Source organism: Homo sapiens, chromosome 3 (genome assembly GCF_000001405.40).
Source record: "Homo sapiens chromosome 3, GRCh38.p14 Primary Assembly".
NCBI classification, from domain to species: Eukaryota; Metazoa; Chordata; class Mammalia; order Primates; family Hominidae; genus Homo; species Homo sapiens.
In genome coordinates this window covers 10,754,794-10,778,835 of record NC_000003.12, presented here as the reverse complement: position 1 = coordinate 10,778,835, position 24,042 = coordinate 10,754,794, and the positions used below count along the sequence as shown (strand labels likewise).

Sequence of the window (24,042 nt, the reverse complement as noted above, 5' to 3'; positions counted from 1 at the left end):
AATCCAATCTGACTGGTGTCCCTCTGGAACAGAAGGAGATACCAGGGGTGCCCATACTGGGGAATGGCCATGTATAGAAGGAGCCCAGGACAGAAGCCTCAGAGGAAACCAGCCCTGCCAGCACCTTGACCTTGGACCTCCAGCCTCCAGAAGCCAGAGAAAATGAATGTCTATTGCTTAAGCCCACACCTGATTGATGGTGTTTTGTTACGGCAGCCCCAGCAAACTAACACAGAAGGCAAGATGATCGTGGGAATTGGGAAGTCATGGCATCTCTCATTCACCACACTTGCTGCAGCCATTCAACTCCTGCTCCCTGAATCTCCTTTTCACCCCAAAATAGAAGGGGCTTGAAGGATGAGAACATTTCCTATGCTTTAGTGCCCTGACATTTGCAAATAAATAAATCATTCATTCAAGAAAAGCAATCAGTAGACATATACTGATTGATAAGGAAGAACGGACAATGGACAGTTACTGTGTGTATCCAGGGACCCTGTGATTTCTATATAATCTCATTCAATCCTCAAAACAGCCCTTTCCAGTGCACCTTATTCATCCCTGAGCTGAATAATGCAGAGAGGTTTGGTGACTTGCCCCAAGTCACAGCCATAAGCAGCAGACCTGTTATCCAAACCCAGGCCAGCCAGAGTTACATCACTGCTACTTCCACTATCCTCTGTGCTGAGCACCTGGGGCCTTAAAAAGAAGACAGAGACCCTGTATCCCCTCACCAAGTCTTACAGTCTCACTCACAAGATGAGGTGTCCACAAATGCAACAGTGATGAGCAGTGCAGGGTGATACACCTACTTGCCGTATGAATGGTGCTATTGGGAATGGGGTATGTTCTCAAAAACACCTGGGGAAGTTGCCTGGTGACACTGGGCTGTATAGAGAGATGCACAGTGAGGACTTTGGCCCTGGAGACTTTGCTTTCAGACCTTACCCCAAGATGTAGTTTTCTTGGTTCTCAATGCCCAGCCCAGCTTTGCCTTAGCAACTGATTACCTGTCACCATCACCCTGCAACCTCAGCTAACATTCCTGGTTCTTTGACCTTGGCCTATAACCTCCCCATCTGTCCTGGCTGCAACCTGCCTTTCACACCCCTTGTGGCTCTGGGGCCTCCCACTATGCCCGAGCTCACTCACCAGCTCCTGGATCTGATTCCAGGTGGTAGGAAGAGGCAGAGATCATTCTGGGCAGGTAATGAACAAGATTAAGGGGAAAGGAGCACCTGTGGGGAACAGAAAGCCAGAGGCGTTGAAAAGGGTTTCAGACACTGAAAACAATCTCAATAATGGCTTCAGCATTGTGATCTACACTCAGCATGTGATCTGCACAATTCCTTTATCCTTTCCTAAGATCCATGCACATGCTTAGTCTGACTCATGATCAGTCTCTAAGAAGGCATCAACAGGCCGGGCGCTGTGGCTCACGCCTGTAATCCCAGCACTTTGGGAGGCCGAGGTGGGCGGATCACGAGGTCAGGAGATTGAGACCATCCTGGCTAACACGGTGAAACCCTGTCTCTACTAAAAATACAAAAAATTAGCCGGGCACGGTGGCGGGCGCCTGTAGTCCCAGCTACTCGGGAGGCTGAGGCAGGAGAATGGCATGAACCCAGGAGGCGGAGCTTGCAGTGAGCCGAGATTGCACCACTGCACTCCAGCCTGGGCGAAAGAACGAGACTCCATCTCAAAAAAAAAAAAAAAAAAGGCATCAACATATATGTCATCAGTCAAAATGCATATGAAACAGGTTGAAGAAGAATTTTAAGTCACAATTTACAACTCTGAGCTGAGAAAGCTCAGATGAGTGACAGCAAAGAAATACAAGAGACACACATGGAAATGAGTGGTGAGCAGGAGAAACTGGCAGGGGAGGGTAGTGTCCCGGATGGAGCAGAACATGAAATAGAAGGAATGCCGGTCCTCGCAGGACAGAAGTTTCTAGTAATTCCTGTGCTGTGCTAAAGGTGGCATGGAGGAGGTGGCACCTGCTATGGGGTTAATTGAGTGATGGAATCAGGGAAAACATAAAATGAACAATTCACACTTGGAGGAAGCTGGAGAACAGGAGAGACTCTGAGAAATGCCACAATATGCCTGATGGAGCTGGGTTCCTGTCAGACTTGTGGAGGTTTCCAATCTTAGTTCTGTACCCTCAACTTTTCCCAGGGGGAGTTCCTGGGGGCAAGACCCAAGTGTGGGCTCCTTGCCACAAATATCTTCTCTGGAGACATTCTTAGCTGGCTGGGTTTTAGGAATGTGGAGGCCATTGGAGAGCCTACATGTGCCCTGCGTTTTCCAGATGGGGAACTGAGGCACTGGCTGAGCCAGGGGCTGTCAGTGGCCTCTGCCAGCCCCAGCCTTTGCTCAGCTGCAGTCCTGGAGCTCTTGAACTTGGAGACTCAGCTCCCGATCCTTTCCTGAGTCAATCCTGTCCCACAGGGTTGTGTATGTTATGGGGAGAGGGGGAAGTTGTTTTAAGGCTGGGGTCCAAGAGCAGCACCCCAATATCAGGTGAAGGGCTCTGTTTCTCACACCCACCCTCTTTTTCTGTGGGTTCATCTGTAAGCACAAAGGCGGCAGGTTGATATAACTTCACTTGGCAACTCTCATTGAGAAGGACAGAGAGATTCCCAGGGGGAACATTCTGCAATGGGTTTGTTATGTCAGCCAGAGACATAGGCTTCAGAGTGGTGGCAGGCAGGCCACAGACCTGGCATCCCAATTAGGTCACATCTGCTGCTTGCTGGACTTCAAGTGTCATTGCAGCCTGCATTCTCCTGCCACACCCAGAACATCAGGCACCCTCTCTATGGATGCCTGCCGCAGCCAACCCCAGGAGCGGTGTTCCCACTGTCCCTGGCTGACCATCCATGGGACCCTGCCTATTGCCAGCTTAGTCTGTGCATTCTCCACTTCTGTCTGATCCCAGCTTCTTGCTTAAGTAAATGAGCAAATGCCTGGAGCACATTCGGGAGTGTCTGTGCATAGTAGGCACCTCGTGAGTTTCTATTCGTTTTATTACACCACAACCGTCCGTCTTCCTTAATCAACGACACTCAAGTGCCTACTCTGCGTCAGGTGCTTTCTATGGCTTCTCCCATTTAATCCCCCTCTACCCTAGAAGGTAGATTCAACAACCATAGTTCCTATTTTACAGATAAGGAAGTTGCTGCTCAAGAAGTGAGGTTCCTTGGTCAAGGTCAGGGAACGGAACGTGTGAGTAATGAGCCAAGGATTCAACCCCAATAGTGTCTGGTGCAAAGCTCAGGCTTTCTCCAACTTGAACATTGAACCTTCAACCCCAATCGGGACGTTCTTCCCCACTCAGCCCTCTACAGCCAGGCCAAGGGGCTTCGGTACTGACTGCTGGTGTGAGCCCGCATCTCCTGTCCACGGAACACTTACCCTACACTCACCAGGCACTTCTGAGTATCCCTGTGTTGTTCTAGTAGGACAAAGTCACCGACCCATGCCCAGTATCCTTCCTCACCCCTCCAAACTCTCCACCTCTCTCTGGACACAAATCTGGGAGCCCAAGAATTGGCTGAAAGGTGCTGCTGTTCCCACCAGCCACCTGCCTCCTGTATTTCTGGCAGGGAAATTATACTTCATTACCTTAAAATGTATTTAATAGGGCATTCATTCCTGAATCTTCCACGGAAACTTTTGAAACAGGAGAGAAAATACCTCAAAGGTGTGATTTAAAGGGCCTTCTCTATGGATCTGGCCTGGCCACATGGGGGGCCCTGCTTACTTCAGAAGGAGCCCCCAGCCACCCGGCTTCCCTGCTCGCATGGGTACCTGCTCGACCGCCCTGATGTGCAGCATGGAGAATTGCTGTGTGCTCTCGAGTGAGGCAGCCTGGATGTACACTTAGTAAGTACAGAGAGGGGAGGGAGAGAAAATGGACACGTTCTGCTGGTGGGGAGTCCCTGGAAGCATGGCTGTGGCTCCTGGGTCATCCTCCCCCTGCCTTCGTTCCTGCCTCAGGAGGATACACTTACTTCCCTTCTTTCCCATTCATGGGTCATACCCGGCCATTCACTGCCTGAACATGCACCCCAATCTCTAAGCCAACCCAGGAAATATGCCAGCAGCCTTGGCATCAATATCCAGCCATGCCTGGCAATTCTGAGCCCCAGGAAAGTAACACCCAGTGGGCAGGTGCTGCTGACCCCCCACTTTCCCTCTACATGCTGGCGGGTTTACTATGGAGAACTGGTGGGTAAAGCCCCTGCTGGGATGGCTTTGAGGGATGTTCTACGGTGTCTTTCAGAGGTCCACAACAAGACTAAGCTCCACCTACCCACAGGGTCACGTGCTCCATAACAGCCTTCTTGCCCCTGCCTCCTTCTCCCCAGCCCTAGTCAACTGGTATTTCCTAGGGTCGACTGCCAAATAAACTGTTCATGCTTGACCGCTTGTCTCAAGTGTATTTCAGAGAGCACCAAACCAGGACAGCTGCACACATCATTCCCAGAATCTCGCGGCTGCCCCCAGCTCAGGGATAAGCGCCCCCAAGGACTCTCCCTTGCTGATCAGCCACATGGTTCAGCCCCAGGAGCTGGGCTTCCCTCTCTCCCTACACTTCCTTTCCAACTTGCATCTCAGGCCACCTTCAGGACTGAGGCCTGACTCCCAGCTGGAGTCTTGCCCACTGAGGTCTTAAATACAGCCCATCATCTGGGTCCCACTCTTCTCTCCATCTGTCCCAGTGGCAGCCATTCCCAGCATCAACTAAGGCCCTTGAATCTGTTTGGGCCATGAGACTGGTACAGATGCAACCTGAGAATCAGGTCCTCACTCTTCCCCTCCTATCGGTTGAAGAACCTGACCTCAGACAGGCAGAAAGAGATGAAATGCCCTGGGCTGAGGCAGTTGTGTTTGGTGGAAAGATATCAACAGTAGGAGGCAGACCGCTGTGTGCTCCTATCTCAGCACTGCCATTTGCAAGCTGCTCTGCCTTGGGTGAGTTAATTTCTCTGAGATTCAGCATCTTAACACTTAAATGATACGTGGCGGAGATGGCTAACTGTCCCCCATGGTTCGTCCCCCCTCTTCCATAGCACAAAATGAGATGGGGGCTGCCTGGGCAGGGACTACATTTCTGGGCATTCCTTACACTGAACCGACTGCTATTTATCATTTAGTTGTCACCAACAAAATGAGTGGAAGGGAGGCCTATCACTTCCAGACCAGTGTGGTTGAGATGCCAACTTATCTTCTTCACCATCTCTCCCAGCTTCCTCCCACATTCAGGGGACTCCAGAGTTCTAAGCCTGGGTCCCTGAATCACCACATGGAGGAGAGCTGCCTGTTAACCAGAAGCACCAGCATTGTATTATTTGAGCAAAAAATATTCATTAAGCTACTGAATTGTGGAGGTTTATTTGTTATAGCAGCTGGCATTAGCCTAGCCAATATATAATCATATCTCCATGTTGTGAAGAGCTAAAGGGATCATACAGATAGCAGCTACATGTAATGAGCACTTACTGTGTGCCAGACTCTGTTCTTCACATGCATGGTCTGTCTCACTTAATCCTCAAAGCAACGACATTATCCATATTTTATAGCTGGGGAAACTCAAGCACAGAGATGTGAAATTATATACCCAAGATCACACAGCTAGGAAGTACTAGATCTGACAATAAATCTGTGTTCTTAACCACTAAGTTGAACTGTTTCCCAAATGCAGTGTTAAATAGCATTTAATACAGTGTCCGGCACAGAGTGAGTGTTCCCCAAATGGGCACAGTCACTGTTAATTAGGCTGAGCAAATGCATACCCCAGGAGCGTCTCCTCCTCGAGGCGCTGACATGGGTGTCCTTGCAGCTTATCCTGTTGCCTGATGCTCCACTGCCCCATCTGCTGGTGCCTAACTAACATCAGCTCCCCTCCGTCTCTATCTCAGTGCCCTTACTGGTCGGCAGACCCCTGCTCAGCCACCGTGCACAGGCATATTCCTTTCTTCGACATTCCCCTGGGCCAGGCAAAGTGGGGAAATCTGTTCAGGGTCTCCTGATGCCTGTTGGAGTCTTTGTCTAAATGGGGCTGAGGCTCTCACTCTGGGCAGATGAATGACACAAGGGCGCCCTCTCTGGTGGGTGCAACCCTGGGGTTCCAGCCTCACCTGAGTGCCCTCAGTTCAGGACACAGCCCGCCCACCTGAACCCTGACCAGTCACGGCTTCCAGATGCCCTGAGTCACTCCTCAACAGGAACCCCTCCTGTTGGGGAGCCTGAAATGAAACCCAAGATTTTCTGAGGCTGAAACATCCCTCACAGCCCTTCCCTGCAGCTGACAGCCCCACGGGGGAGTCAGCGAGCTGTCCCCTGCTCCCCTGGCAGAGGCCTCTGCGAGGTCCCCTGGACAGCTTCTGGCCTTGGCTTCAGCCCAGCCTCCCCCAGGGCTATTTCTGGCCAGGCGGGTAATAGATTTCTGCCTCCTTTTTGAGGGCCTTTTGTGTGCCCTCAAACCTGGGGCCAAATGCTTCCCCTCCAAAAGAAAAAAAATAATAACAGCCGTGCTTCCAGCCCCTGCACTAGGAGACTTGTGGGGCCAGACGACCCCGGAGTGAGCTGGCTGAGGTTTCATTTCTGGTAACTGCCCACCCCTCTTCCCTGAGCCTGGCTTCACAAAGCTCGCTTGTGGGACACCAGTGAAGCATCTAATGTGTGGGATATATGGAGGCAGGGGCGCCTGCCCTGCATTTCCTGGCATATGATTTATGAGGTGGGGCTGGGCTTGCTTCCCTCCCTCCCCAGCCCGACCCTGCCCAGTCGGGGAGATACAGAGGCTGGAATTCTCCCCGGTGGGGGTCCAGGATCGGGCACCCTGCCACACTGCTCCAGGAATCTGCTGTGTCTCCTGCCTGCCTGTTAGAGGCTAAAGGAAGCCATGATTTCCACATTATACATAAGGAAACTGAGGCACAGTTAGGCAGCTAGACTTGGGTCCCAAATGGGGGAGCTTGGGCCAGCAGAAATTGCCTTCTCTGGAGGCCAGCATTTTTCATACCTGTACTCATTGGAATCTTCTGGGAGGTGTTTAAAAATGCTGATTTCCAGCAAGAATTCTCAAGAGACTGACTCAGCCATGTTCGGTACACACTGTCATAGAGGGTGCACTTTAATAGGCATCAGACAACTCCTCAGGGATGATGTTGAAACCTGCAGAAGTCCCAAACCTGGCCTGAGCCTGCACCACATCCTGAATCTACAGGGGATGGGCCTGGGCATTTTGCTTTTAACAAAGCCTGAAAACTCCTGAATATGAAAGCCGAAAGGGACTGTGACATTGAAGAGTCCAGATTTCCTGTTTTCTGGATAAGAAGACTGAAGCTGGGAGTGAGAGGAGGTCTTGGCCAAGGTCACACATCAGGGTGGTTGGGCCTTTCCTTGAGGACAGGAGAAGAGAGAGGTGTGGGCTCTCCAGGAACCTGGAGGAGGTGAGAGGGAAAAAGGAAGAGCTTCACCAACCTGAATGCAGATAGACTTGAACATCCCTACCTCTGGGAGGCTGGAGTTGACGCCTGATCCCAGGCATCTGTCCCTCCGTCACTCAGGGTCAGAAAACCCCTCCCCACTTTCTGCAGTAGGACAGAAGTTCCTCCCTCTAGTTAGTGTCAGGGCTTAGTGTCAGCATCTGTAAGTTTGTCTTGAAGGCTGTGTCAGGCCCCTTAACAGATATCAGGTCCCTGCTCTCCAGGAAAAAGTCACAGCCATCCTCGAACTGCCCAAACATGGACCCAGTCAGCCTTTCCCCATGACCCACCCCCAGAACCCTGGGGCCCCTGGGGCACCCAGTCCCCAGGCCTGGGTGCAGGCTGCTAGGGCAGCATGTGGATGTATGCTTGCCTGAATTAAAAGGAAATAGATGGATGGAAGGGAAATTGTGTACAATTAATAAACGATGGTGCTTGGTTTGGATTTTCCATTGCTTTCAACTTTCAGAACATTGCTCCCATGAGAACGGACAGCTGTGACCCGAAAGAGGAAGGCCGGACATGCAGCCAGATGCCCGGGGGCTCGCCTCCCAGCCTGGCAAGTGGCTGGGTGTCTCGTGAGTGCTGCCATCCCTCTCTGAGTCTCCGCTTCCTTAGCTGTAAAGTGCAGGCTGCCAACTCTCCTTCACCCAGTCTCCGTCACAGCTTCCTGGGAGCCTGATTTGGGATGACGCAGGCGGAAGTTCCCAGCATGCATAGGTGCTGGATAGACAATTGTCCCCTAGAAGGGGACACACAAACAATTCTCAGAGGGAGCCCTCTGGCTTGTCCACGTGGAGATTCTGCACACCAAACACATTTTACAAACAGCACGTGTTAGCTAGCAGACATGGCTGTTCTCTCACTGTTGAGGAAAGGGGTGGAAATGTAGTCAGGTAAATATTTTTCAGGAAAGATCTTTCTCTCAGTACTTTTTCTGCCCCCAGATGTGTGAAAATTGAGAGAATGAATATAGAATTATCTTCTTGAGAGATTCTCCACACCGATCTTTACTGAAATTTAACAGACATATAGGAAAATGCACAATCCTAAGTGATAGCTCAGTAGGTTTCACGAACTAATCATTAGACATCCATGAAACTTGCGCCCAGGTCAAAAAGCTTCTAGCACCAGCATCTTAGAGTCTCTGTTGACCCAAAGTCCCCCCCAAGTCATGAGGCCCCCGCCCACAGCAACCATAACCACTATCCTGAGTTCTACCAGTCTGCTCTTTAACTGTATATGAATAAGTCCTACAGCATGTAGTGTTTGTTTGCTGTCTGGCTTCTTTACTTTGATGTTATGTTAGTGGTTTTAATTTGCCTTTCCCTGATTGGTAATGAGGTTGAACCTCCTTACATATACTTATTGGCCATTTTGTGAAGTACCTGTTCGAATCTTTTACCTAGATGTCTATTGGGATATCTGTCTTTTTATTGATTTGCAGGAGCTCTTTATTTATGATGGACACTGTTTAGGTATTTAGGTCCTTTATGAAGACTCCCTACCTCTTACTCAGACAGTTCATCCTGAAGACTTCAGGAGTTCTGGTCCCAATGGAAACCCATTGAATACAATCATTCAAGAGATTCCTCTCTAGCTCTCAATAGCAGCTTGATGCTGCCTTCTTCTTCAGAGTGCATTGTGGCTCTGCAGCACATAAAGAAGCTGGAGAATTTTGTCTCTGGGCTCTTCTTGCCTCTACCTCCCCCGTGCCTCTTTTTCACTTTTTGGTAACCTACCAGCTAGGTTCTGTTTCCATGGGCCTTGCTCTCAGCTGGCAAAAAAACAAATCACTTTTAAGGTGTATGGCAACCAGGTAGCTCCATGTCTTTTGGTTTCTGCATGGATGGGAGTGTAAGGAGGGTGGGAGTGGGACCTCAAGGAGTAGCTGGCACCCTCCTACTGCCTGTCACTGCACCTGGGACTCCCCCACTAAAGCTTTAATCCTCAATGACAGCAGCTATTTACAACATGGGGGAAGTATTTCCATATTTCAGCTGCAGGCTCAGGTGTCCTAGTGTGTACCCGCTGAATCCCAGTTTGCCTGTTGCTGAGCCCTGACCAGGTCTGTGGTGTTGGGCTGATTTTCGTCTTAGCCTCATCCCTGCCTGGGCCCAGAAGGAACAGCATGTGCTGCTGCCTCTGGCTCACTTGCATCCCATAATACCACGCTTTTGATCCTCAAACCTTATGCCAATCACACATTCCTATTCACAAGTCAGCAGCTCACTTTTGGCCTCCATTGGGCAAAACGCCGTCACAGAGCTTTACGGGAAACTTCAAGGGATAAGGCAGCAATGTGGGATCACAGGCACCACGGTAGATAGGCTGAGTGAGGGAGATGTTTTTCAGCAGGGGTCAGATTTAGGGAATCCAGCTGACTTCGGTGAACCAGCGGGAGGCCGAGCTCCATGCTGTTCCTGGACATCTCTTCTAGAGCTGGATATACATTACTCTCTGTTGCCTAATTGTCCCCAGAGCAGGAAACCAAAAGGTCTTGTGGAAGTTATTGCCTTGACATTTTGACTGAGCCATTTCCCCTCCAGGTGGGTGACCCAGAGCCTGTGTGTATTGGGCAGATACCAAAAATAACATTCACTGGTCTTAAAGTCATGTCCCCCAAAGCGTTCCCTTCTGCACATCTAAGCTCTGAAAGAATACTTTTTAAGGGTTAGGCATCTCCTCCAGGAAAGGCATTTTGTTGTCTTATTTGAGCAAAGAATGCACTTAGAGCTTCCAATTGACCCTGCCAGCCTGAGCAGAAGAGAGATTTCATCTACAAGGGTCACTATGAGGGTAAAACTTGAAACACATTTTCCTTTTTTAATGGAATACATGCTCAAGAGGAAAGATTCAAATGATAGAGATGGTCTGAATGCTCAGCCTAAATGTTAGTGCTTTATGGCAAGAACAAGCATGTTACCAGCACCATTTCCATGAGTGCATCGGTCAGTGAAAGCTATGCTATACTGTGGTAACAAGTGAGCCCCCAAATATCAGTGGCTTGCAACTACAAAGATTTCTTTCTTGCTGAAGTTACTTGTCCATGGGGGATTGGCTGTACTCTGTTCTGTGTCTCCTTTACCCTGGGACCTTAGTTAAGGGAGCAGCCCCTATCAGGGATGTTGAGGTCTCATGATGAAAGGAAACCAGAGAACTCAATGGTGCCAGGCAACAGCTTTTAAAGCTTCAACCCGGAAGGGATAAATGTCATTATTATTGTATTTCATTGGCCAGAGCAAGTCACATGGCCAAGCCAGTGGTCAGCATATGGAGAGAGCATCATATTTTGATCAACAATACAATCTTCATGATGGGCAAAGGTCAGAATGAGTTCTGCCTCTATAGAGCTTTTGTTTCTAGTACTCCCGGGACCTTCTCACCTTAAAGGATTGCTTGTCTGAAACCTCTTTATTCCACATACCCCTGACTCCGTGGGTGCTCCTTCCCCAGCATGCCCTAGTGTGTGTTCTGCAGAATGCTATTTTTCCGATGTCAATAGCTGTTCAGAGAGGAAAGGGTTCCATGGTTAAATAAGTTTGGGAAACACTGAGTTAAACAGGAGTCTTTACTACAGGGTCTCAGAGCCTTTAATACCTAGTGAATTGTCCATTTTAAAGAAGGAGATAGTCCACGGGGCCACGGCCTTGTCCTTCTAGGTCAGTGTTTGTCATTTTAGCTGTACGTTAGAATCAGCTGCAGAACTTTTAAGGCCATCCTGATGGCCAAGATTCACCCCAGACCAATATCCTTACCATCTCTGTGGGCAGAACAAGCATGGGCATTTTCTAAAAGCTCTCCACATCCTCCTCATGATTCCAGTGGGCAGCCAGGTTTGGGAACCACTTCTATGGGGATGGTCCATCTGGGAATTGGCTGTCCACAGGGTTGATCTAGCAGTCAACATTCAAGAAGAGGCTGGGGTGGATTGGTAGCAGTTTCTTGCACCTGCTGAATAGACAGGCTGCAGACAGAATGTCCAGGACAGTCCAGATGGGCCAGTGGTCTTTAGAACTGAACCTGCAAAGAGTGAGGAAGAGGCTAATGTAGAAACTGCCTCAGCTGTATTCCACATAGGTTCAATCTTGAGTCATCCCTGGGTAGGACAAAGAGAAGTCTTGACTGCTGCATCACGTGGTAACTCATGGGGCCAGAGCACCACCATCAGGGTCATACTCCTGCGTCTTGTACCTCGCCACTCACCGTATAGTAAGAAAGTAATCAGCTGCTCCATCTGTAGGTAGGGGTTGGGACTTACTCACCTCTGTGTCTCCCTGATTCAGTGCAGTGTCAGGCACATAGTAGTTGCTCACTAAATGTTGCACAACAGAGTGCAAATACATCCCTTGTCTTAAAGGAGCCCCTAACAATCTCAAGACTTTTGCTTCCCATGTCTGTTGTACAGGGTTCAATTCAGATAAACCACAGGGAAGCAGGGTAAGCTTATAGATTCCTTTGACGTCCAACATGGGGACCATCAGCACAGGTTTAAGGATTAGCAGCTTTACTGTGGCTGCAGAGGAAATGGAAAATTAAGGCTTATGTTTTGGATTATGAAATGGAATTGGTTCCCTTTATGCCTCTCAGGGGAAGAAAGAAACATTTCCATCATCTCAATTTATAAAAAGCAATCTTAAGGCCAAGAAGAGATAAGTGGAGTAATTCAGAAACCCTTAATTTGGGCCATTTCTTAAATCCCACCAGTCTGCAATTTGTGCACATGAACTTCCCTGAAAGTGTTGCATTTCCTGAGGCTGGCTGTTCCTCTGAGAGACAATCCAGCAGGTTGAGGGGACTGTGGCCTAGGGAGCAGGACAGGGATGGGAAGGGAAGGGTGGGAGCAGAGTGTGGTAGCAGATTTGAACGACAGGCTGAGCATATGCACTTTATCTCCTGGGCCAGTGGCTCGTGACCTCAGTGAGTATCCAGATGCTGTGAGACTGTGTAGAAAACATGACTGCCTAGACGTCCCCCCATACACAATTTTTGTTCAGTAGGTGTGGGATAGAAAGCACCTCTGGTGGGTGAATTTGAGCAGGCAAATGACTTCATAGTGTAGGAAGCCCAGCCGCTGGATTCAAAGCCAGCTCAAGTAGTGTAGCAGACACTGTGGTGTCCTGGTCTAGCCCCTCACCTGACCCCTTCAGTGCACATCTGCCTGACTACCACTGCCTGCCCTGCATCCCTTTCCTGAGGTCTCTCTCTGGCCCTAGAGCCACTCTGCCCTTCCAAATAGCAGGCCAGAAATGCTGGAGAATTAGCTCTTCCTGGGAGCAGCCCTGAACCAGTGACTGATGGGAGTGGGGTATAAATACCCCAGCTCCCTGGTCCATTAGGCAGGATAGCTTTGAGGTGCATGCTCTACCCAGTCTCCCAGATGCCCCCAGCAGTACTGAGCTCCAGTTGCCACTCAGGGACCACTTGATAATACACCTTTCATGGGCCTCCTTCCTATCCTTGTCTCACTTCCCACTGCCCAGCTGGTGTTTTCTGGAATCTCCTGCCCTCATACCCTTGTCTCAGGCTCTGCTGCTGGAAGGACCCAAAAGATGGGAGTCAGCGAGAGCTGTGTTGTGTGGCCTTGAATGCACTAACTGATACAAAACTACATATAAAACTACATATAAAGCATGGGGAGAGTAGACACAAAATTCAGCACAGTGGTTACCTCTCTGGGGTGCGGGGGGAGGGGCTGGCAGGGGCAGTCTTGGGGTTGGTCTATTTTCTCAGCTGGGAGGTGGGTTCAGGGATATGTATTTCATGATTCTTTATGCCTTTCATGTACATTTTATATTCCTCTTTGGAATGCATGACATAGACTCCATAATAAATTATTGTAAAATTATCTGGGGACCAGATAAAACCTATTTGCTGGCCGCATCTAGTCCCTAGGCCACCTGTTTCTGACACCTCCCTTACAGATAACAAAACTTGGACTCTGAGGGCTTTCAGCCACGATATATTGCTTCGTTTTACATTTTTACAAATTGGGAAATTTCACATCAAAATAGAAATGTTCAACTCCCTTGAAAGACAATCAGAAGATCAGACAGGGCTGGACCCACGTTTCTACAGGATAACAGCTGCCAAAGCTGCGTTGCTGGGGATTTGCTAGGTGGGGCGGAGTGCCTTCTGCTCCAACCCCAGAGCAGCATCCGTCCTTCCTGTGACCTTTCTGTCCTCCCCTATAGACGTCTGAGCCGAGCTCACAAATGGGAGAACCTCTCCAATGGTTCACCCATGCAATGCCCTCGGTGGAGAGCCCAGCACAGGCCCAGTGCTAAATAAGGCCACTCCTTGTCATTGTGGTTAGAGAAGATAACTCCAACACTCGAGGGGGCAGCCGGGCTTAGTGTCCTTGTCCTGAGCCTGCTGAGGTGCTGTGATGAGGCCAAGGTCACCGTCTGGACAGCAGTGCCATCAGGACTCCACCCAGTCCCTGGGGCGTATCTGCAGGTACATTGGGCCTCAACTCCAGGGAGCAGGGGCCAGGCCGAGCTCCCCAAGGCCTTGGGTGCCCCAGCCCAGGCCAGCTGCTCTGACAGAGCCCACACTTTGTAGCCAGAGGCGAGGCAGGGGCAGTGGGGGAGACCTGCCAGACAGGTGGCATCTCAGGCCTCCGGGATGAGTGGGACAAAGGGATGCGCTTGAGTTCCGCCTCCCAGAGCAGCTCCTCCCCTGGCCGGGGAACGGAGGTGGACTTCGGGGCCTGAGAATCCTTGCCAGCGGATGGAGGCTTTGTTTGCCTCGCTGAGTCCCCAGACCAGGGGCCGGCCGGAGAGAGGGCTCTTTCCTGAGAGGCTGGACTTTCCCACAGGAACAAAGTGGGGCTTGTTAGCCGGGCATGAATCTTGGCGTGAAGCGGCCCAGGCCAGGCTCGGCGCTGCCAGGCGGCGGCTCCGCGATATCAGGCAAATTCCGCCTTCCCCACAGCTGGGGCTGACAGCAGGAAGCCCCAGGGAGGCTCCGGACAAAAGCAGAAAAATGGGCCACGTTTATTCATTCACTGACCAGCCCGGGCCTGGCTGGCCCGGGGGCCCTGTCTCCATGGCTACGGGCGGCCTTCAGCTCTCCTGGTTGGCTCCTCTGTGACCACAGCCCCTCCACTGCCACACACCCCAACACATAGAGACACAGCATCATGAAGGCAGAGGCTGCCTCGGGACGGCTCTGCCCCAGGGAGCGTGGGGCCATCTGAGCCAAACAGAATAGAGGGCTTGGACACAGCCCCGGATGTGAGTTGAGCTCTGAATGTCAAGACCAGTCCTGGGTGAGTGAGGGGAAGGCAACAGGTTCAAATCCACACATCAGCTAAGCACCTACTGTGTGCGGGGCAGGGGTGCGTCCGTCATGCCAACTCGGTTTGTTCTCACTCCTCTGGTTCGAAAATAGAGGCTGGGGAGCCCATTGAGGGAGGCACACCCTTTGCCTTGGGAAGGTATCAGGCAGGAACTGTCATCGGCATTGAGTCTTGAAGGATGCATAGAAGTTTGCCAAGCAGGGAGGCAAAGGTCATTCCCGGCAGAAGGAATGGCTTGAGCACAGGCTCCGAGGCCTGCAAGTAATGTGTAGTGTGATTAGGGTAACTGAAAGGCTCTCTGAACTGGAGTGGAGGGAAGAGGACGCAGCTGAAAATGAGGCAGTTGTGGGGGTGGGACGACCGTGCAGTGTGACTCAGAGAACCGGGGCCATCTGCTCCCCTGTCACTGTCCTGTTAGAAAAGACCCCCAGTAATTCTGTGAGTTGTGAATTTCAGAGAGGACAGAGGTTAACGTACAGCTAATACTTTGCAGTTTACAGAGAACTTTCATATATTCACGTGATCTTATTTAGACCTATGACCACCCAGCTGGGAGGGAGCTGACAGATAAGGAAACTGAGGCCCAGAGTGGTGCTGGAGGTCTCTGAGCCAGGAAGTGGCCCGTCGGGACTGGAATGCAGGGCCCTGAGCCTGACAGCACTCTCCGGGAAGGGGCTAGAGCCCCGAGGGATGAGCGAAATGATCATGATCATCTTTGTCCCATGCTTGCAAGTTCTAGAACTGCTACAAAGGAGCAGCCACGAGTGTCCCCCGCTCCCAGACCACTCCAAGCTGCTTCTAGAGGGACTGGACATCCTGGAGCAGAAACAGGTCTAAATCCCAGGCAACTTAGAATCAGGGATATGATGAATGGGTCAGAGCCTGGGAGCAGGCACAAGAGAGGCTGTCAATGTCTGATGGCCCGGACCACCCTTCCTGTCTTTCACGGGCCCACTCTGCTTCTCTGGCCCTGGGTCTCCCAGATGGAGCCAATGGGCTGGGCCTGCAAGAACGACCTTGGGACCCAAAGGCTGGTGGGAGGGGGGTGCCATGAGACACTGCTATGACGTAGTGCCATTTAGCCTTCACAACAACCTCTGTTTTGCAGGTGAGGAAACTGAAGCTCTGAGAGCAGTAGCTCCCCTGAGCCGTGCAGCTGGAGAGGGCTGCGCCAACAGCAGAGCTGGGGCTCTTTGCAGGTGCGCAGAGGAAGGGTTTGCTTCCCTTGCCGAGTTTCCTCATGCTCACTTCCACCCCCAGCCCTCAGGTGTGTCTGACCTCTGCCCACTGAAAGGCGCCTTCCCTCTGCCTCTGGGCTCAGCTGTCTGCTTTCTTTCTGCTGCCTCTGACTTCTGCCAACTTGACATTGGCTTCCAGTTCCTTCTGTCTTTCAGAGTTTGACATTGTTGATCCTCATCCTGAAGTCTCACCTGAGTCTCCTTCACCTGGTTGTGCTACCCAGAAAAAAAATAAATAAGTAAATAAAAAGGAAGAAAAAGGAAAAAAAAAATAAACAAAACCAAGAAAAAGGAAGAAGAGGGCTGTGGGATTAGCACCAAAGCCTCCTGGGTGCAGACCTGCCCATTGGCCTCTTCTCAGGGTGCTTTTGGCTTTGGGTAAAGAAGAAATGATAATAATGATACCTAAAAACCATTTAGGACAGAAATGGCAAACATAGCATAGCAGGAGCGCCCTCCAATCTGGCACCTGAGGCAGGCATAGCTAATCGATCCTAGCACTCTCTCTGGCTCAGCTTGGCCTCAGCTTCAGCGTTCTTCTCAATGCAGGGATCAGGCAGCCACCACCAGGCAGAGTCGACACCCAAGAGAACCTGCACTTGTCACCCCTGCCTATGAGTCTGTGCTCTCCATCTGAGCCTCGTTTTTGCCCCATTTGTCCAGGCAGCTGTAATTATCTTCATTTTACAGGTGAAGAGACTGAAGCCCAGACTGATATTTTCTGCAACACACAGCTACTTCATGACAGAACTAAGGATGAGAACTGAGGCCTCTCTCTCTGTCCCTGCTCAGGACACATTTAAAAGGCCCCATGCAATCAAGGAGGTAGCATTTGAATAGATTTATTCTTCCTTCTTTTTTGTTTTCCAGTCCCATTTTCCACTGCTTTGGTCAGGGAGTGAGTCCCCTGATGTCATCCGAGGATATGAGGCATCGCTAAATCTGGCCATCCCCTGAAGCACCCAGCCTCACCGACTTCCTGAAGCGTGGATGAACGCTGCTGCCACAAATGTGCTGTGACAACCGCTGACAAGGAGAGTGAGTGATGTTTGTGCCATCCTGCTGAGCACGAGGGAGCTGCTTGGGGAAGCCAGGGGCTGGGGCATCTCAATAGCACTGAGGGCAGCCTCGGGGGGGCTTCACAGCACACCCACCCCCAGATCACTGCTGATTCTGGGGGATGCATGACAGAGCTTTCTGACCTTGCACTTCCCTTTGGCTGCTAAACTGAATGAAGCCTCCTTCTTAGACCCAACCCCCTACTGAGTGTCTCTCTCTTCTGTTCTTTGCCATCCCTGCCCCCAAACCTGGAAACTTCCTCTGCACCTCCACATGCAGTTGGTGCCAAATGTCTCCCACCTACCTGCCTGGGTCTCTGCCCCTCAGCTTCTCACAAGTGGCTGTGTTCTTCCACTCACCTGCTGGGACACACACTGGCTCACCAGCCCCCATCCTCTCCACACCGTCTCACCTGCCTGGCTCGCCTTCTTCCCCGTCACCTGTAGACAGGTCATTTCCCAGACATACCTGCCCTACTCTGACTAGTTGGCATGGTGAGGCCGTCACTCCCTTCTCTCCAGGGTCCCATGTGCTCTCCAGGCACAAATTCACCCAGACATTTCTTGATCTAGCTCTGTCCCAGAAAGCGTTACCTTTGCAATGGCAAATACCTGTATTAATTGCCGTGCAAGTGACACATACTTATCATGTGCTCGCCTGTTCCAGGCACCGATGGCTGTCTTTTTTATTTTGTGTCAGGTTCCAGTGAGTGAGTCTGACTTATGATTGTATAGACTTAGCTCACATCCTCCTTCCTCCACCTTGACAATTGTGCTAATGACAAAGTTGTCATTTACTGAGCACTTGCCATGTCCCAATCACTGTGCCAGGAGATTTACCTGCATGGGCTCACAAACTCTTTGCAGTATTCTTGAAAGAGAGGCAAGTATGTTCCTCTATTTTGTAGATGAGAAAACTGGGCTCAGAAAATGAAGTCATTTTGCCCCAGGTCACCCAACCAGCGAGTGGCAGAACTATGTTTAAAAGTCAGGATTATCTATTCCAGAGACCCTGTGCTGCCCACCATGGCACACTGCTTCTCCAGTCAAGGAAAGGTAGCTTAAAGATATCTGCTTTCCAAAATGCTTGAACATTTGTTAGAATATGGAAGAAGATAATATATGGTCCTGTCCTTGAAGAATTGATACTCTATTTGGGGAAACAAAGCAGCTGACATTGCCAGCCAATATTTATTTAAATTTCATCTCAGAAAAATAGCAAAAGAGATTTTATTTAACCTTTCAACAGTGATTATCTGATTATGTCTGTTTGAGTATTCTGTAGGATAGACAGCTAAGGCAGTCATGGACTCAGTGGGAAAAAGTTCAGCAATCCATTATTAATGTCTGTTTGGGGCGCAGGCATGGGTAGTGGAGGTAGATGTGCCACCAATTTCATTTTTCCTATATAGTAGAAAACACGAGAGTTTCTAATAAATTCCTAACTATATAAAGCAGACAAGAGAGGAAAGAGAAAGATACCTGTGTGATTGGGAGAGGCTGCCTGAGGAAGGTAAGATATGACCTGTTTGGGGTCATTGTACCCCTGGGGCATGAGGCATCATCAAGGCCAGATTGAATTTTCTAAGGTATGATAAAAAGTTTGGTTCTTCCATGTGCCTTGGTTCCTCTTCTCTAAAATGGCTAATTCTGTCCAATTAAGATCTAGAAGGCCCTTTCTGATGCCAATGTTTCTAAATAAAGATATCTAATAAGGGTGGAACACGTCACAGCTCTCAACCTCCTCTCAGACCCCCCAACAAGCCCATGATGCAGCCATTTTAGAGATGAAAAACTGAGGCCCAGAGAGCTGACACCCATGTTAGCAGAAGTTAGTGGAACCCAGTTCTGTTAACTCTAACCATTCTCTAATCCAAAAGTATATTTACAGATTTTCAAATAATTAGGAAATGTTAGTAATATTTAGAAGCTCCTCAGATGATTCTAGTTTTCAGCCATGGTTGAGAATGTTGCTAAAAAGTAGTGTTATGGCTGATTTCCGAGAAGGAAACAGAGGTTCAGAGTGGTTAAGCAACTTGTCCAAAGTCACACAGCCAGAACATAGTGGAGTGGGAACTCCACTGAGGCAGGCTGACTGCTTAACCCATGTGTCTGTTGTGCCCCAGGCACTGTCACATATTATTTCATTTAATTCTCTCAACAACTTTGTTTTTTTAACTCTGAAAACTAATCCAGAAAAGTTAAATAACCAGCCCAAAATTGCAGAGCTAATAAAAGGCAGCTAACAGTGTTTTCTATCTTGATTCTATTTGGGTGGACAAGTGTGTGTACTTGTCAATAGTCATTTGATGGGTCACTTAAGATCTGTACATCACACTATATGTTGATTTTACTTTTAAAAGGCACAAATAAACTGCCCTCTGGGTAACAATATCAAGCAGAGATATTGTGATGTCTCCTTCTTATTTGGAAATGCATTTAAAAGTAGAGTGAACGGATAAGGAGATAAATAAGTGGGCAGTTATGTGATAAAGATGGTGGGTCTATGGGGTTCATTACACGAGTGCTATTCTTTCAACTTTTCTGCATGTTTGAACATTTTACATAATAAAATGTTGCATGGGGGACAGCAGCCCAAACATTCCATGAGACTGAGTTCAGTGATGACAGAGATCTCTGCCTGTTTTGTTACTGAGTCTCCAGCACCAGGAATAGTGCCTGGCATGAAGCAGGTGCACAGTAAATATTTGCTGAACGGAAAATGATGGGAGGCTGTTTAGCCTATGGCTTTAACGCTTAAAGTAAACACTTACCTTGGAGAGAGGATTGGATGATATCTGTGAAACAAGGGCGGTGGGAGGAGGGACACTGGGCAGAGTAAGGCGAGTAGGCACAATAGGGCACAGAGATCTGGTGGCTTTGCAAGCATGAACTCAGCTGGTTCTTCTGGAAGCTGAGTGACATCCTCATCCCCAGGCGGAGCTGTAGCCAGAGCTGTGCTTTATACAGGCGTGTGCTGCCCTCATGTGGCCAAGCAGAAGAATATTGCGCTGGTGTCGGAAGGGCCTCTTTCCCCTGATCCCTGATGGGCAGTTAGTTACTCAGATGCTTGGAAGCAAAGGTTGCGGCCAGAGGAACCGTGTCTCTGGGGCCTGGGCTTCATGCCCCTCTCTTAGCTAGGAGATAGTGGTCAAGTTTAAAACTTCCTCTGGGCAGGGTGGCACATCTGTAGTCCCAGCTGCTCAGGAGGCTGAGGTGGGAGGATGGCTTGAGCCCAGGAGGTCGAAGCTGCAGTGAGCTATGATTGTGCTGCTGTACTCCAACCTGAGCAACAGAGTGAGACCCTGTCTCTAAAAAGAAGACAAGTTCCTGATGCTTCCTATTAGCTAATGTTCTCCCAGTGGGGGTGTGGGTTTCCCAGACCTCACAGCGGTCCTGAGATTTGAGAGAAGGAGCCGCCGTGTATAAGCACCCACTGCTGCTGCTACTCCTCCATGGGCTGTTTTATTTGGGCATCCCACTGACCCTGCCAGTGACCATACATGAGACCACTCAAGATCTCATTTACGGACCGGAAAGCAGGGGCTCGGAGAGATCAAGTCACATGCAGCACGTTGGGGGCAGGGAAACCGCCTCTGGGAAGTCCAGAGTGTAACAAAGAAGATGCTAGCTTCCCTCTGTGGGGTTCTGAGGACTCCCAAATTCTGGCTGAGGAAAGCTGGCAAGGAGCCAGGGAAGTTTGGAAAAGCCCCAGTACTCACGTACACACCCTGAGCCCTTCAGCTCTCACAGAGGCAAGTTGGAGCTGTCATCCACCCCTTCCACCCCTCCCAGACCCAGCTGTGTGACCCTGGGGAAAGTGACTCAGCCTCTCTGAGCCCTACCTCAATGTGTCAAATATGGATCATAATATCCTCACCTTTTAAGGTTGCTGTGTAAATAAATGATACAGTGCACACCACACATGCTCAGGAATGACTCCTTTTAGACCACAAGGCAGACATTGTATCTATTGTGTTCACTCCTGTAACATGTTTGGATGGGCCAGTTCTCAAAGACGAGCAGGGTAAGAGTTAAGAGTGAAGTCTTTGGAATCAGATACCTGGATCCAAATCCTGGCACTGCCTCTTCAGTCTGGGTGATCTTGAACAATATATCAATGTAGTGAGGTTGTGCTGATGAATAGGTTAGTGTGAATAAAGAGCATGGTGCCTGGCACATACCAGATGCCCAAATAAATGCTAGCTGATAGTAGGATGACTCAAAGATGGGTATTCAACGTTAGCTATTGTTGTGAGCGGTCGTGGTAATAGTGAATGAGTCATGCGAATTTCCCCTTCAAGGCTGCAGTGGCTGCAGCTCTGCCCTGACTTCATCTGAATATATGCGTTGGGTGAGAGACGAGTGGCAATGATAGGAGTGCCCTCCTGTTCCCTGGACACAAATCACCCTGCACCACCAGCACAAGGTCACCCAGCCCTCAGTCATGATGGTTCCCAGTGAAGGGGACCAGGCTATAGAGGCACTCTGCACCCCCTGAGCTGACATGGTGGGCTTAGGGTCTGGGCCGTGATGCAGGGGCTTTCCTCTTCTTGGGATGCTCACACTGGTCTTAACACACTGGCCTCGCTGGCATGAGGGCCAGCCTGAACAGTGGGAAGAGAAACAGCATGAGTGTGGTGGCCTTCAAGGCAGTGAATCTCAGATGTCAATGTGCACAGGACTTCCGAGGGGGAAGTGCATTGTGAAAATGTGGGTTCTGACTCAGTAGTTCTGGGCTGGGACCTGCCATCCAGCTTTTCTAAAGCTCCCAGGTCACCCTGATGCTCTTCATTCAAGACCTCACTTTGAGTATCAAGGTTTCAAGAAAAGCAGGCTGAATTTATCTCCCAGGTGCACTGAGGGCTCATTGCAGCAGGTCTGGCATCAGCCTGGGCTGTTTTGCTGAAGTAAGAGATGTGCCTGCACAGCATGGACCCCTGGGCAAGGCATGAAGGGTACTGACTGGTGGCCATGGGTGGAGACAAGTTTCAGGGTGTCTGATATCAGCTTGTCAGCATTGTTTGAGGGTCACAATGAGACTGATGACCTGCAACTGGCCTCAGGGGCTCCCTCAGGGAGCCCTGTGCAGTGCCAGGGCTGGTAACGCAGCATGTGTGCCTACACGATGAGCCCTCCATTGTGTGCTTCCTGATTCTAATATCTCAGGTGCATCAGTAGATCCTGATCTGAAAGAACAAGCACATGGTCGTTCCACATCAGTGTAACAACTGGAGCTCTCCCCTGACTCTCAGAACCCCTCACTATGAGGCAGCCTTTGGCCCTGATGCATATCCTCATTTTAATGGTCTTAATATCTTGTATTTTTTTCCTGAAATAAATCTTAGCTTGGTCAGCATAGCCATGTAAGGTCCTGGGAGTTTTACTTGTACTGGAACTCAATCTAACTTCCACCGTTAGTGCAATATGGATTAAAAAACTGCTTCCTGTGGGCAGGACACTGTGCTCAGCTCAGTGGACTTAGAAGTGGTTACAATTCCATTCTCTGCTCTCCCAGGAGAGCTGCAATTCACAGCCTTGGCTACACTGGTGTCGTCTGGGGAGCTTTAAAAGCTACTAAGGCCTGAGCTCCATCCCCAGAAACTACCAGTGGAATATTGGTCTTGAGGTTTTTAAAAGCTCCCCAAGTGGTCCTAATATGAAACCAAAGGTGCAAACCACTCATAGATAATGAACACAAAGCAGTAATGGTCTTAGAAGACCAGGTTGAGAATGGAACTAAGCCACTACCACTGTCTGGACCTTTGCGAAGTCCTGTCCCAAGGGTACAGTTATTGGTGTTAAATTTCCTACTCAAGGCTAGAGGTCAGCTGTGGAAGTCTTTCGTCTTTGAGGCACTGGTTGCCTTCCAAATGAGCGTCCAGGAAGACGGTCAATGCTCAACCCAAAAAACCCCTGCTGTCTGCAAGGGTGGAATTTCTGACCTCATCACGCCTGGGTGAGGGGACACTTGCAAACAAGGATCACATTTTTATGCTTCTCGTGACACACACTGGGGATAAAACTCAATGCCAGACACATTTAAGGGAATCCTGCAGGCCTCAAGAGATGTACCACCTGGGATTAATGAGAGCTTTACTTTGAGACTTGAGTCTCTCTTCCAAATTTCGAAGCTTCTCATGCCCATCACAGCTCTGGGTTTTGCATATTTGCTATTGACCTTGAGCAAGCCATTTTCTCTCTAAGCTGTATTGGCATCACAATCCAGCTATCTTGAATTGCTAGGCATCAGGGCCTCACAACCTCTGTAGCCACAGTCAACTACCACGTAGTGATGAGCCCCAGAAGGAACTAAGCTGTAGCCAGGCAAGAAGCAAAGCAAATTTTGGAACAAGTAGGGGCTCATACTTTCTCCAACCTGCAAGGAGTCAATCGTTGTCCAGTGAGCTATGATAAGCACCATGACAGTTAATCAGACAGTGAGCCATTTATTGGTTTTTATGTAGCTCTTTCACATTGCAGGCTTTCTACTGGGGAAAGAGGAAAAGGAAGATAGGGTAGAGTACAAAGAACTGCAAAGCCTAGATTCTTTGTGGACCACTCTTCTGGTGCCATTAGATGGGAATACCTTGCGGGAACCCCAAAAGATCCATTGCTGCTCTCTGAGGAGGAGTTAGAGTCAAACAGACTCTTAAACCCTTTGCACATTTGGTTTCTCTTGAGAATGTGAGGCATCGTTGTGGTAGGCCATTTTGTGTCACTATAAAAGAATACCTGAGACTGGGCAATGTACAAAGAAAACAGGTTTAACTGACTCCTGTTTCTGGAGGCTGTATGAGAAGCATGGTACCAACATCTGCTTGGCTTCTAGTGAGGCCTCAGGAAGCTTAAAATCATGGCGGAAGGCAGCAGGGAGCCAGCATGTGACATGGTGAGAGTGGGCACAAGAAGTGGTGGGGGGAGGTGCCATGCTCTTTTGA

General features: G+C 49.7%; 1 long non-coding RNA gene across 2 annotated transcripts, besides 3 other annotated features; it reads left to right on the top strand.

Moving 5' to 3' along the window:
• Nucleotides 5,861-6,360: an enhancer, noted in NCBI's record as "H3K4me1 hESC enhancer chr3:10814161-10814660 (GRCh37/hg19 assembly coordinates)". NCBI's record gives its function as "activates a minimal SCP1, AML or CMV promoter by ChIP-STARR-seq in primed H9 embryonic stem cells {active_cell/tissue: H9 hESC(primed)}" and the evidence as "EXISTENCE:reporter gene assay evidence [ECO:0000049][PMID:30033119]".
• Nucleotides 6,361-6,862: an enhancer, noted in NCBI's record as "H3K4me1 hESC enhancer chr3:10813659-10814160 (GRCh37/hg19 assembly coordinates)". NCBI's record gives its function as "activates a minimal SCP1, AML or CMV promoter by ChIP-STARR-seq in primed H9 embryonic stem cells {active_cell/tissue: H9 hESC(primed)}" and the evidence as "EXISTENCE:reporter gene assay evidence [ECO:0000049][PMID:30033119]".
• LINC00606 (long intergenic non-protein coding RNA 606) lies at nucleotides 14,627-19,494 on the top strand. 2 transcript variants are annotated; one of them, NR_152730.1, is made up of 3 exons: nucleotides 14,627-14,775; nucleotides 15,914-16,004; nucleotides 16,914-19,494. It is a non-coding gene; the product is annotated as a long intergenic non-protein coding RNA 606 (long non-coding RNA). The 2 variants fall into 2 exon arrangements; NR_027102.2 differs by lacking the exon at nucleotides 15,914-16,004 and adding an exon at nucleotides 15,339-15,636.
• Nucleotides 19,938-20,232: an enhancer, noted in NCBI's record as "tiled region #1605; K562 Activating DNase unmatched - State 12:CtcfO". NCBI's record gives its function as "activates a minimal TATA promoter and a strong SV40 promoter by Sharpr-MPRA in K562 cells {active_cell/tissue: K562}" and the evidence as "EXISTENCE:reporter gene assay evidence [ECO:0000049][PMID:27701403]".